The sequence below is a fragment of the Homo sapiens genome, chromosome 14 (genome assembly GCF_000001405.40).
Source record: "Homo sapiens chromosome 14, GRCh38.p14 Primary Assembly".
NCBI classification, from domain to species: Eukaryota; Metazoa; Chordata; class Mammalia; order Primates; family Hominidae; genus Homo; species Homo sapiens.
This window is the reverse complement of record NC_000014.9, coordinates 37,298,908-37,314,235: the sequence shown is the minus strand read 5'-3', so window position 1 is coordinate 37,314,235 and position 15,328 is coordinate 37,298,908. Positions and strand designations below refer to the sequence as shown.

General features: G+C 33.9%; 1 protein-coding gene across 13 annotated transcripts in view; it reads right to left on the bottom strand.

The window, feature by feature from the left end:
- The window catches only part of MIPOL1 (mirror-image polydactyly 1), a 354,425-nt gene that overhangs the window by 238,126 nt on the left and 100,971 nt on the right, over positions 1-15,328 (bottom strand). For all 13 annotated transcript variants that reach the window (NM_001195296.2, NM_001195297.2, NM_138731.7 and 10 more), the window contains 2 exons: positions 6,147-6,180; positions 5,717-5,887 (listed from right to left, as the gene is read on the bottom strand). In NM_001195296.2, the coding sequence (NP_001182225.1) occupies positions 5,717-5,887; positions 6,147-6,180 (205 nt within the window). The remainder of the gene's footprint in view (positions 1-5,716; positions 5,888-6,146; positions 6,181-15,328) is intronic.

Sequence of the window (15,328 nt, the reverse complement as noted above, 5' to 3'; positions counted from 1 at the left end):
CTTTTCATTACAATATTTGATAAAAAAAATAAGCCACTAAATTATCACAAAAGGTGTGCTCATTATATTTCATCTAAAGGAGCAATATAAATATCTTAGAAATATTTTCAACAATAAAACCAAGAAACGAGTACAGAAATTAAAAGAGTGATAATAAATTTAGATATATAGAATGACTCATTTCTAGAAAATAGTGATGAGTTCAGATTCTCCATATAGTGTTCAGAAAACAGAAATGTAAGATCACTGATTTGGCCTTAACAGGCAAGAAGAAACTAACACCTAGAAGACAGAAAAGTAGAAGGAAACCCAAGGAAAGGTTGAAGGATGTGAAAATACCTGAAAAGTAGAAACAGTGCTAGTTTCTGCTTTGCCTTGCTGTGCTTTGCTCCTAGAAGTTTTTAGCCTGTATGCACCTTTTCATATAGTTTCTGAACTAATTATAATCAAGCCTGGCAATATAATCAAAGCTCCATTCTCATCAGTCGATGCCAATGAAATTCATTGAAGAGTCATAGCATATTTTCCATTACGCCTATAATAGAGTCCAAACACGCATGTACATAAAGAATTTACCACTTTCTTCCTTTATACCTGCTGTACTCTAAGTCTCTATGACAAGACTTTTGCCTTCTGTTTTGAGTGGTCCATGTGGTTAAAGTCCATAAAGTCCATACAGTTACCCCCATTCTCATACCTGACTTATTCAGGTCTCAGGGGTTGGGCCCCTCACTTAGGTACCAGCAAGGGTCCAATCAATGAAGAGCTCTACAATATTATCCTTCTAACTACAAATACCAATAAGACCCAAAGCCTCCAGGTGCCAGGCCTTGCCCATTTATGTATACCCTTATAAGTAAAACATAGCCCAGAGCTAGCCTAATTTTGCCAGAATATCTAGGAATAATTACTTGAATTACTGTATCTCCCAATAAAGTCAGCCCTCAAAGCTAATAAATCACCAATCCTGGCTAGTTCAATAATTTTCTGTTGCTTATTGATGTGTGACCTGAGTCCAATTGTGCTTCTAAGCCTAGCCCTCATGACTTAGGACATTACTGATAAATATTTGAATATATTTGATGCAATATGATTTATTTGTCAAATGTTCTGAGACCAATTCTAACACCAATGGCTAGATATTAAGAGAAGATGGGTATTTGACTAAAGTGAAAATTAGTGACAGATCAGATTCCTTAATTTGGTGAACAATTTAACTAGATGGCTCCTAAGGTCCTACAAAATTTAAAATTCTATAATTCTATAAAAATCTTTCCAATTAAAATTCTAAATTTTTTGTTTGTATAGAATAATAATCTGAAAGATCCTGGAAAAGGAGAATAGTGAAGAAATGGAAGTTTACAGCTTTATCTTCTGATTCCAGATATTTCTACAATTCGAATAAAATAGGAAAGTGTGAATTGGCCAAAAAAATGATAAAGAAAGAATAGAGGACTGGTTGGTAAGATAATTCCTTGATCAAACAATTGCTAATTATAATTTTTAAATTAATTATATGAAAGACTTTAAGGCTTTTGGCTCTCAGTTTGAGATAGAAGAGAAATGAAAAAACAATTTGGGATAAATAAAGAGTATAAGGATTTATCTGAAAAAGATAACATTTTTAACTAGGTCAATTAAAGTAAATAAATGATTTTGACTTGATTTGAAAAATAAAGTAAGATATCAAGTGTATCAAAGTCAACAAATTATAACTGAATCTGAAATTTTTAATATCTATATGGAATGTGACTAAAGTTCTCCTAGCACTATACAGAAGACATAATTAGAAAATGTCTGATGCTAAATAATAGCTTTAAAATCAAGGCTGGGCAGGTGGCTCACAACTGTAATCCCAGCACTTTGGGAGGCCAAGGTGGGCAGATCATTTGAGGTCAGGAGTTCTAGACCACCTTGGCCAACATGATGAAACCCCATCTCTACTAAAAAAGTACAAAAAATTAGCCAGGTGTGGTGGCACCCGCTTGTAATACCAGCTACTTGTGAGGTTGAGGGAAGAAAATCGCTTGAACCCAGGAGGCAGAGGTTGCAGTGAGCCAAGACAGTGCCACTGCACTCCAGCTTGGGTGACAGAGTGAGAATCCATTCTCAGAGTAAGTAAAAAGTTAATTAAATTAAATTAAGGCAAAATCCCTGTGGTATTCTTTCCCAAAACTCAAAATCTCACTTTAATCATGAGAAAAACAAACCCAAATTCAGAGATATTCTATAAAATATGTGAGCAGTACTCTTCAAAATTATTGAGGTTATGGAGGAAAAAAATACAAGGAAAGATGAATAGGCTGTCACAGACCAGAGACTAGAAGGACGTGACAATTAAATGCAATATGCTACCCTGGATTGGATCATGGAACATAAGGACACTAATGAAAACTGGTGAATTCTGAATAACATCTAGAGTTGAATTGATACTAATGTACCAATGTTGGTTTCCTAACTTTAACAAACATATCACAATGATTTAAGATAACAAAATTAGAGAAAACCAAAACTGGGTAATATATGGGAGCTGTCTATATTGTACTATTTTTGAAACTTTTCTGTAATCTAAAACTATTCCAACAAATTTATTTTTAAAAAATCAAAGTTAAAAAAAGATTCCATTCAGAAATATAAGACAATAATTCAAAAGTGTAAGTATACAATGACTAACATAAAAATTAAAATGAGTATTTATTGAGCCAGAGGGCTTGCAAATAAGCAAATTAAAATAACTAAACAACTCCTTTCTCATAAAACATAACCATAAATATAGTGCGGTGGTATTTATACATAACAACTTGTCAGCAAATATTACCAAATGTTAACTTCTTATTTATTTATCCTTTTATACCATGAAAGTCAGTGGAGGGAGAAAAGATAGGAAGAGGGAATGAGTGGCAGTCAATTTAATTATGCTCTATGTGCTTATTTTAGTTAACTTACTTCCATGTCTAGACAGCATGGAATCATTTGTGGTGAACGAATGCTTCATTCAAGAACAAGAAAAGCCAGATTTAATGCAAAAATCATCTGCCTAAAGGTATCAGAGGGCTGTTGCTGCAATAATGGCTTGAGTGTCTAAGATTCTGAAGAGGAGTTAACTGGAGAGGAAGGACTGGAGTATCTGCAGTTATTTTTTCCCCCTGAGAGTGTCATATTCTAGGTATGGGGAAAACACTGAGAAATCAGGCTTTAACTAGGCAAAGAGCTCCTGCTGGAAGACAGAGAAACCACCCAAGCTTTTGACAGCTATTCAGGGCTGAAGTGACAAAATGGAGATTTGAGACTTGTTTCTGAACCAAATCATTTGCCAAATTCCAAACTTCTACAGGTCTTTAAGTTAAAAAGCTAAGCCCTCAAACCTCTGAAAAAATATTTGAGTTTTCCACAGTCTTCCAGTGCTAAGGAAACAAACACACACTAGAATACAGGATCGTCCAGGAGTCGGGCCCTTGCAAATACTCAGCTCTCAGTTTGGGAGGCCTCATCCAAAATACAGGGGTGAACCACAACTAGGCCAAGACTTACCAAAACTTCCACTCAGCCTCCATGGGAGGTGGTAAGGCATTTTGGATAGCAATGGAAATGAACTAATATCAAACATTTTATGAAGTAGGAGAGAAAAGGAACAAGTGGTTAAGCGATCACCTTGTGAAGGCCAGAAAAGATGTGAACTAGTATGGAAATAGAGAGATTGTCTTTAAATAGAAGCATGTAGTTAGAAAAAAGTAAAGTAGAAAAGGCAGAGCACATGGGTGCAAATGCAGGTAGGCTAGTAGATGAAATGGCTGTGGGCATGCAGAAGTTATCTTTTTAACTGGGAGGAGAGGTGAGATAACTAAGGAGAAAGAAGAGATAAAATAGTCCTCTAGAGGGGAGAGTGAATAGACAAGCAAAAGGCAAGAAGTTGCCAGGCAACACTAAGAACCTAACTGAATATATTAATAGTTGGTCATGGATTTAAGGTAAGTACAGTCAGTAAATTTGTGTGATTTTTCTCCTGCCTTACAAAGCTGTGAAGATACAAAACAGAGAGATTCATTTAAATAGATTTTGATTTTGCTGGGTGAGTAGGACAAAGGAAGAGGGCAAAGAGAAATGAGGGTATATTATGTGCAAGTTGGCGATAATTATAATGGGCTATGGAATTTAAGCCAGATGTGTGTGTGTTGGGGTGGGGGAGTAAGGACATAAGGGGTTTGAGAGACAGAAAAGAGTTAGTAAGATTGATAGAAATAAGCTGAGGCCAGGCGTGGTGGCTCACATCTGTAATTCCAGCATTTTCGGAGGGCGAGGTGGGTGGATCACTTGAGGTCAGCAGTTCAAGACCAGCCTGGCCAACATGGCAAAACCCTATCTCTACAAGAAATACCAAAAAATTAGCTGGGCTTGGTGGCGCACACCTGTAGTCCCAGCTACTCAGGAGGCTGAGACAGAAGAATCACTTGAACCTGGGAGGCACAGACTGCAGTGAGCCAAGATCACACTACTGCACTCCAGCCTGGGTGACAGACCAAGACTCTGTCTAAAAAAAAAAAAAAAAATGCTGGAGTCAGAGTTCTAGCATGAATGAGCTAGAAAGATAGCAGCTGGTAGTCAGAAAGCGGGAAGCTTGACATTGAGACTCAGAATGACCAGGAACAGAGTATGACCACAGAGCAGATAGCAGATACAGTGTGCAGCACACAATGACTAAAGTAGAGAAATTTAGGAAATAAGAGGCTGCAATTTTTGAAAGGATTATCTACATAGGAATTTACATCACCAAGAATTATGACAGGAGTAGGCTGAAGAAAGAGACATTGGAATAGGCCCAAAAATTTTAACAAAACAAGAGAAGTGACATAGAAGTGTGTACACGACTACAACAATAGTGTGCACTGGGTGGTACAGTCTGATGCATGAGTTTCAGAGCTGGAGGTATTTAGGGAGTGAAAAAGACATTGATCTGAAAACACTAACAAGGCCAGGTGTGGTGGCTCATGCCTGTAATCCCCAACACTTTGGGAGGTCGAGGGAGGAGGATCACTTGAGGCCAAGAGTTCAAGAGCAGCCTGGGAAACAAGGTGATACCAAATCTCCACACACACTAAATAAATAAATAAATAAATAAATAAATAAATAAATAAAATAACAAGAAACAAGCCTCCAAGCCCAGTGGTATAACTGGTATGAGAGAGAGCACAGCCACTAGTTGAAAGGACTGCACTGGAAGCAGTGGCCTGAGGGAGGTAATCAGGTTTCAGGTAGAGCAGGAAGGTGTAAGTAGCATTCAGAAAAAAATACATGAATAATTTTGATCCATTAATCAAGGTTTACTAAAAGGTACTGAATTAGGCACTGGGAATAAAACAGTAATATAGACATAGTCTCAGCCTTCAGAAAACTGTAATTTAAGTAAGAAGTCCCATATAAAAGTGATTAGTTGAAAAAATATAACAATTTCTATAACAAGTTAGTCTGTAATAAAACAAGTTTAATTTTATTAAGAAATGAGACTGCATTAAATTTTATTTAAAATGAGGTTTCATATTTTGAACAGTAGTATAATAAAATACATAATTATTTTAATATAGCTAATCACTGTGGTATTAATTATGTGCTAAAAATTAATGTGAATTAAGAATATCTGGGCCAAAGTCAGTTTTTAATGGTTAAAAAAATAGAGAGGAAAATGGTAAGTATATGCTTTTACAGATATATGCAGAGTTACCTTAGACAAGGCAGCATCCCGTTCTTCTATTAGTGCACTCATTTCTTCTGCAGTTATTCTCATTTTACATTCCTTGGTCTTGTAGATTCTATCCACAATTATAGCTCCATTCTTCTGAATAGCTATCCCTGTGTCTGCATTGTTTATTCTGTTCAGTAATTCCTGTAATGTCTACCAACACCATTATATGTTAGTCAGACATGAAGTTTTAATATATTTTATTTAATATAGGGTTTTAATTAATAGGCACATGTGAATTGTAAATTGACTGAGTGAAGTTATTGAATTTTCATATTGCAGCAAAGATGTACATTATTAGTGTGTCAATTCTTCTTTTTCCCACATCTTAGTTCTTGAAACCCACTCAATTGAACTTAAGCCTCTAAGATATAAGACTGACATCAAGAAATCTCCTCAGAGAATGGCTTACCATGTCATTTTCTTCAGGGTTAATATTTTCTAGCCTAGAAAAAAGGGACACAGAAAGCCTGATCAGTAGCATTTCCTTAGTGCAGCAAAATGAGTTCGCTTTTTAAATCTTTAGAACCTCAAGTAATTTCATTCGACTAGTCTTTAGAGTCAACCATGACACTGAACATATTAAAGTGCCACCTGCTCGACTCCATCTTTCAATAATGCTCCATATCTTCTGCACTGACTTCAGACTGTTAAGTTATTAATGTTTACTGCTATATATGACTACAAGGATCAATTGTTCATATGTGCTTAGATGAAGAAAGTTCCCCAGTGATAAAAGCACTCATTCTCATCATTATATTTATTCCTGGACTTTCCATTTTTATCAGAAACTGTATTTCCTCTCTTTTTTTGGACACCATCATAAGTAAAACAAGGCTAGTATTTTTATTACAAAGTTTAACTATGTTCCCTTAAAAGCAATGACAAATAATTACACTAAATTTGAAGTAAAAATCTCTTGCTGTTACCTATTTGTTATTATGAAACAAATGCATAGGAAGGCTGACCACAATTTTTAGATGACTGTTATTTTCTTCTTCATAATATATGTAGAATTATTCGACATAAAGACAAAAAATAAAAACTGGCTCCCCTCAGAAATGCATTTTGTCTTTTAAGAGTCGTAGTGGCTACTGAAATGTTTGCTGATGTTGAGAAATTAAAGAAATGCAGTAAAGGTAAAGAAAGTAGTTTTAAATTACCTACAAAATGTCTATAATATAATTTAGGCAACCATTCAAAGTAATTAAAAGAAAATTTGTGATATATGTTAGTGAAAAGGTATAGATTCTAGAAAGGATCTCAATTATTTTAAAATTATACTAAAAAGTTTAGATATCCAAGTTTCTGTTTTCTCAAGTTTTCCCCGTTTCTGTGCTCCTGTGATTTGACATTTACCATAAAATAGGATACTAGCCAAAGATAATAGAAGACACCTAATAAATATGCCACAAAATGGTTCCAAACTTCACAACTGGATAAAATTACTACACTCATGGAAAAGTAGTACTTTTAGAACTTAGTATTTTAACAGAAAAAATATATACACATATATTAAAGAGCTATTTCTAGACATAAATAGTATCAGTTAACAGGAAGGTACAGTAATTTTAAGTTATATATAATTCAGTGTATCTCAAACAACTAACATCCACTTAGGTTTACGTTTCAAGAAGGGTAACTACTTTCATCTCTTATCTTTTTTTCTTCAAAATAAATGAACAATTTTCAAAGATGCTGCCTAACAAAAGTTTGCTCTACAAGAATTGTGAAGATAAACACTTCTTTTCATCTCAATTGAAAAACCTAACAGAAAAGTATAAGATAATAAAATTCTTACATTTATTTATTATCATAGTGAAAATATTTGAAGAAAATGAGTGGCATTTAACCAGCAGTAATTGGTTGGCTAAATACGATTTCTAAGGAAGTTATATGTGGTGAGAAATATTTATCTTATGTTATCTTTTATTGCCATTCTTTTTAGCTAAAATCAAAGTAAGATCTAATTATGGCTGCTACCCAATAAAATCCAATTAAAATGCTTATAAACTTCACAATTACCTTGTTAACCTTGATGATTTAAAATGTGAACAGATACAGGACAATTAAATATTTGGACTGTTAGATTCCTCTGGAACCTTTGCAACAACAAAAGACATTTAGTTACCAAGGTTATAAATCTCTATTTTTAGTTTCAAAGAATTTTATATGACCAGGAAGGAAATAACAGTAGGTTACCTAGTCTGTATATTCCAAATAATCAACACACACAAAAAATGTGTATGGAATTTCTATGTAATATTTAAGGCTGTCTTCAGGCATTGCAATGTAAAGCATTACTTTAAGGAGAGGAAGATGAAGAGTTCAAACGTTTTAAATTAACAGCTTTCAATAGGAAAGGTTTAAGATAATTGTATTTAGTCTAATATTAAAATTCCCTACTAATAATTTAAACATTTTTAAAAAATCAGAATCAAAAGTTCTTATCAAGGGCTATTCCAGATCCCTGGCACATGAATTTAGTATTCAGACTTTAAATAATTTGTGTGATTGCTGCTAAAAGCACATAATATATACTGACTTGTCATTTTGCCGATAAGTGAATTTCAAGTATGTTTTTGGTAAGGCTGCTGTGCTAGGTCTGACACACAGGACGTAAGTGAGCTAAGTCAGCCACTTAGCATTTGGATCTCAATCTTGTTTTGTTATTATTCTTTATAACTGATATAATTATAGTGATAAATGGCCAGGAAAAAAATATATAACTGGTTAAAATAAAAAAATGATTACTTCAAGATTTGAAAATCTGCATAGATGCAAGTAACTTTCAATACAAACATGAGTCTGGAAAGAGAAAAAGTTGATACTTGTATTTCTCTACTTGTATTTTTTTAAAAGTTTCAGGAAATATCACGGATATCACAGATATTAAAGATAGATTATGTCATAATTTAGTCTCAAGTAGATTATATAGAGTAGGGATCAGCCAAGTTTTTCTGCAAATGGCCAAATAGTAATTATTTTAGGCTTTACCATAGGCTCTCTTATCATAGCTACTAAATTCTGCCTCCATAGTACAAAAGCAGCCATACACAATAAGTGATCAAGTGTAGTTGTATCCCAATAAAACTTTATTTACAAAACAGGTAGCAGGCTGAATTTCAACATAAGTTCTTACTTTGCAAATCCTTGATACAGAGTGTTGGAAAATGAGACTAGATCTTTGATGTTAATGCACTGTTAAGTGCCAATTTGGAATATTTGCCATAATTTTCTAAGCTAGATCATTCAATATCTAGTTAAAGATTAGGAATCAACAAAAATAATTTTCAGAAAATGAAATTCAGGTCTACAGTAAGTATATCACATACTGTGTCACTTAAAACAACACAAAACTTAGACAACTTGCCTTTTCAGAAAAGAGGTGATTTGAAACAGCTATACATGGCTTTAATTTTCTATTTAAAATGACTTTGGGGAAGGTACTAAGGTTTACTAGTGGTATGTACAACACATAATACTTTACTGATTTAAATAAAGACTTAAAATAATAGTTGGTGTTATATGAAATATATCTGATGAACTATAAATTATATCTCATTAATATGGGGTTCACAATTAGACAAAAGAATTTCAACCTTTTGTAAACTTTAAATTATGCCTACAACAGTCTAACTTGACATAGTCATGATAATTAGTAAGAATTTTGCTGAAGTAAATGTCTATGGGCTCAAGTTTCAATTGATTTCCTATACCATGCAAATTCTGACTGACATCCTTGCACTCTAAGTGAAAAGATCCATGCGTGAAATGTCGCATTTCTTGATTTATCCCTAAATCAGTCAATATCACCCTTTTCTTTTCTGAAACTACAGTCGTTCACCTTGTTCAATCCTAAGATGCCAAACGTTGACCTCCAATGATAAACAAATTTCACATTTTTCTGAAAATTCTTATTTGTTGGCTTTTATTCTAATCAGAAAATTCTGATTTGTTTGCTTTTATTCTCTCTCATTTTCTACACACCACCACACTTAACATGTTAAAAAAGTACCAACAATAGCAAAGAGACTGAAAAAAAGGTATCATGATCTGAAAAGCTGAAGTATACAAATGCAAACGTATATAAGAGTATGTATATGTAGGTAATTTTAACTTGAATCCTTTTTTATTTTTTTCCCTAGTTTTTGATAAAAGCCAAAAAAGAGAAAAAGCATTAAAGCCAAGGGGTAAAGAAAAGCAGAGAGAGGCAGAATAAGACAAAGCAGACACTGTAACAGAGATACAATGTAGATCAGAAGTAGCAAAGCAGATGAGAGAAAAAAGACAACAAAGGATCTGAAGATTATAGGAAGCAAAAATTAGGAATTTTTTTAAAAGATGTGAACAATTTATATAATTTTATCGTATACTCGATGCCCCCAAATATACCTTTCAGTCAAGCAAAAACAGTTATGCATTGGTCCTGTTATCAAGATGTACTCTAAAACACACTCTTGACAGTTCAGAACCTATAGATTCAGCAGAAAAGAACCTCATAGAACCATCTGATACTATGCTGACATAATATTCTTTGTTGCTGTTGCTTTTCTTGCTTGGTATGTGTGGCCTTCCCTGACTCTTCCCCCTACCTGAACTCCTAGACTCTGATACAGAAGGAGTCCTTCTTGTAAGCTGTTTCTAGGAACCAAAAATTCTTCAGATTAACTGTTAATTGTTTTAAGCATTTATATGATTACTTACTTATTTACTTAAGTCAATTTGACCATAATGCTGTGTCCCCAGCAACTAGCACTGTACCTGACACAGTATAGTCAATAAATATTTACTGAATGAATTAAAAAGAAAAGCCTGAGAATTGAATGCATTCCTTTTCTCCCATTCCCATTCTTCCCTTAATACTAATACTCTAAAAGACAAAATGAAAAAGATTCTGTCTCAAGGAACACTAATTTCAATATACTTTAATAAAAACTGTAACAAATAAATGTATAAATTAAAGTAGATAAGCAATGAAGGGTAAAAAATAGGGAAGAATGATAGGCTCAATTTAAATATTTTAGTTAAAGAGATAGAATAAACCAAATAAAAGATCAGTTTAATCGAAGTTCTGAGGAAGAAGTTTTGGCTTGGATATGTAGGCAGATGGTTGTAACACTGATCAGAATAAGGGATTAAGGAGGAGGATCAGGTTTTAAGAATGAATTAATAAGTTTCATTTTGGATATGCTAAGTTTGAGTTGCCTGTGTAAATCTGAGGTAGACATTCTGACAATGTGTAATTGACTGACTTTGAGTCTTTGGCCAAGTAGTCTAGCCCTCTAAGCTTCTTTCATCTATAAAACATGAATATACCTACTTCAAAAGAGTTGTGACATTTTATGAAAAATTGATTTGTTGTCTTTTGGAGGTCAATTTGATTTTTTTAAAGCATAAAAATCTTTTTAGAAGCAAATCTCATGAATAAAATTGGTGACTGATTTACGTAATAAAATTTATGAACATAAATTGCATGTAAATATAATATACCACTGTTTGGTGCCTGATAAATTGAACATTATAGTACCCGCAAATCTCCAAAGAAGAGTTCTAAAGTTTTAATGACTATATTACTGAAATTTTGTAAAAAGGTTATCTAGAATAGCCAAAACAATTCTGTAATAAAAGGGCAAAGTTGGAAGACTACACCTGATTTCAAGACTCACTATCAAGATTATGTGATATTGACAAAGGGATTAACATATAGGTTAATGAAACAGAATAGTAAATTCAGAAATTAACCCACAGATATATAGTCAACTTATTTTTGACATAGGTGCAAAGGAAATTTAATGTAGAAATGACAGCCTTTCCAACAAATGGTGGTAGAATATAAGAATGTCCATAAGCAAAAAAAAAAAAAAAGATTTTTTAATGTTATCAAAATTTAAGTGTTATCAAAATTTAAAACTTGTGTTCTGCCAAACACACTAAGAGACTCAAAAAAACAAGACATCAACTAGAAGAAAATATGTGCAAGCCACATATCTGATAAACGACTTATATCCAGAATATAAACAACTCTTTTAAACAACAAGGAAAAAATAATCCAATTTGAAAAACCATCAAATACCTGAACACTTTACCAAAGAAGATATGCAGATGAAAAATAAACATATAAAAAGATGCTCAATATGATTTGTCATCAGGGAAATGCAAATAAAAATACTAAGATACTACTACACACCTGTTAGAATGTCTAACATCCAAAACAAGAAAAAAAAAAAAAAAAAAAACAACAGTTCCAAATGCTTGTATATTCCTTGGATATACAGCAACAGGAACTCTGATTCATTGCTAGTATAGCCACTCTGGAAAAGAATTTGGCAGTTTCTTATAAAATTAACATAGATTTAACTTATGATTCAGCAGTATTGCTACTGGGTTTACTCAACTGATTTGAAAATATATGTCCAGACAAAAACCTGTATGTGAATACTTAGAACAACTTTACTCAAAATCACCAAACATAGAAGTAACCAAGATATCCTTTATACAAAGGAATGAATCAAAAACTGTGATATACAATGGAATACTATTCAACAAGAAAAAAAGAACATTACATAAATTAATGCATTAACATGAATGCATTCTGCTAAATGAAAGAAGCCAATTTGAAAAGGCTACATATTGTATGATTCCATTCATACGACATTCTAAAAAAGGAAAGACTATTAAGGGAAGAAAGCAGGTCAGTAGTTGCCACAGAGTTGGGGAGGGAGGAAGATTTGAGTAGAAGAAGCAGTAGGGATTTTAAAGTGGCAGAACTAATGTGGATACATGATACTACCCATTTGTCAAAACCCACAGATATTTACAGCACATAGTGAATCAATGTATGCACCCAAAGAAACCAACTAGGAGATCAAAGGACACTAGGATAGAATGCAGACTACGATAAATAACTCTAATTACATTAAAAAATATGGCCTAAACTAACTTAAAGAGGTGGGGCAGAGGAAGGAGCCAATTTAAGTAATTTTGGAAAATGGTGTCTTGAAACTATAAGCCTAAACACTAAAACAACTATACATAATATATTCTCATTGCTAAAGTTATTTCTCATGGAGGTACAGGTTAATGATTCAGAAAGAGTTACAATGTATACTGGGTTTCAACAAATAAGTAAATAGATGGTGGTTGGTGGGGGCCAGTTTTGTCACCATTGGGTAGAGTAATTTACAGATGAACAAAAGGGGAAGGCTAGAATAAACAGTGTGGTAATGGATTAGAATTAAGAACATCAGTGTGAACTCATGTTTAGCTTGATATAGATACAAACGGATAGATGCATAAATAAGAGATATGTGTATGTATACATCAGTTAGTGTATATAGTATATATATAGATATGTGTATACATCAGTTAGTGTGTATATATATATACACACACACATATACATATACACACACATATATATAGTATAAGATACTACTATATATATATATATGTGTGTGTATTTCCTACTCTGTCTGCAGAAAGGGTCTAGAAGTAGTCATACTCCCCCAACAAAGGGCACACCCCATACCCAGATCTTGGTTTCTAATACTATTTTCCAATAAAAGGATCTAGAGTTCCTTGGAGGAATGACTGAATCTACTGGAGGGGCACAGCTCTATACATCCTTACATAAGGTGACCCTGGAGCATTCTGCCATGCCAAACAGAAAATGTTCAAAAATCAGAAGAGACCAGGTGTAGTGGCTCATGCCTGTAATTCCAGAACTTTGGAAGGCTGAGGCAGGAGTATCATTTGAGCCCAGGAGCTTGAGACTAGCCTAGGCAATATAGTGAGACTCTATTTCTAAAAAAAATTTCTAAAAATTAGCCAGGCATTAGCCAAGTGAGTACCTGCAGTCCCAGTTACTGGGGAGGCTGAGGTGGGAGGACTGCTTGAGCCCAAGAGGTCAAGGCTGCAGTGAGCTGTAATCATACCACTGCACTCCAGCCAGGACAATAGAGCAAGACCCCGTCTCAAAACAAAAACAAATAAATAACAGAAAGGAATGGGGACATATCAAAGAAATATAGGAGCTAACCTGAAAGAGCTTCCAATCCACAAAGGTAGAACATTTCAAGCAACAACACAAATAACATAGTATTAGATTATAATCCAAAGTATTAAATGAACATCTATGAATCCATACTGACACAAATGGCTGAATAAATGAATAAATGGGAAAAGAGACAAATCTCCTGTATTAAAGTATTACATATAATGTATGTAAGTATTCTCCCCTCAGGAGGTGGGGCTCAACAACCTCCCATCTTCATTCTTTAGTATGGACTGTACTTAGTGATTTACTTCCAAAGAGTAGAGTATGAACAAAGGAATGGAGGTAAGTAACTTTACAGTGGAGAAACTTAGCAAACCATATCTTGGCCAGATGATCAAGGTTAATATTACTGATAGTAAATCCTATTAGGAAAATATAACCTTCAAATGACATAAGGAAAATGGCACTCACTTCTACAGTCTTCATCCTAAAATCTCATAAACCCAACATAACCATGAGGCAAACCCAAATTGAGAAACATTCTGTGTAAAATACCTTGATCAATATGCCTCAAAACTATCAAGGTCTTAAAACACAAGAAAAGTTAGAGAAAATGTCACAGCCCAGGACAGGCTAGGGAGACATACAAACTAAATCCAATCCTGCATAGGATCCTAGAGCATAAAAGGATATTTGAGAAAAATTAGTGAAATCCAAAGAAAGTATACAGTTTAGTTAATAGTTATGTAACAATACTGAATTCTCCCCGTGACAAAAGTATCATGGTAATTTAAGATGTTAACAATAAGAGAAAGTCGTGAGGATTATGCAGCAACTATCTGTATGATCTTCACAACTGTTCTAGAAATATAAAACTATTCTACACTTTTTAAAAAATATCTAAAAAATTGGAATTCCAAGTAAAGATGGCACAGTGAAATCCGAACACCAAAATCTACTTATCCCATCATATAGACTCATGAACAGAATATGCAACTTAACCAAATGGTAAAGAAAGTAGGATGTTGTAGAGTAATTTTTATTTTTTTAATTTTTTTTTATTATTATACTTTAAGTTTTAGGGTACATGTGCACAACGTGCAGGTTTGTTACATATGTATACATGTGCCATGTTGGTGTGCTGCACCCATTAACTCGTCATTTAGCATTAGGTATATCTCCTAATGCTATCCCGCCCCCCTCTCCCTACCCTACAACAGTCCCCTGTGTGTGATGTTCCCCTTCCTGTGTTCTCATTGTTCAATTCTCACCTATGAGTGAGAACATGAGGTGTTTGGTTTTTTGTCCTTGCAATAGTTTGCTGAGAATGATGGTTTCCAGCTTCATCCATGTCCCTACAAAGGACATGAACTCATCATTTTTTATGGCTGCAGAGTATTCCATGCTGTATATGTGCCACATTTTCTTAACCAGTCTATCATTGTTGGACATTTGGGTTGGTTCCAAGTCTTTGCTATTGTGAATAGTGCCACAATAAACATACGTGTGCATGTGTCTTTATAGCAGCATGATTTATAGTCCTTTGGGTATATACCCAGTAATGGGATGGCTGGGTCAAATGGTATTTCTAGTTC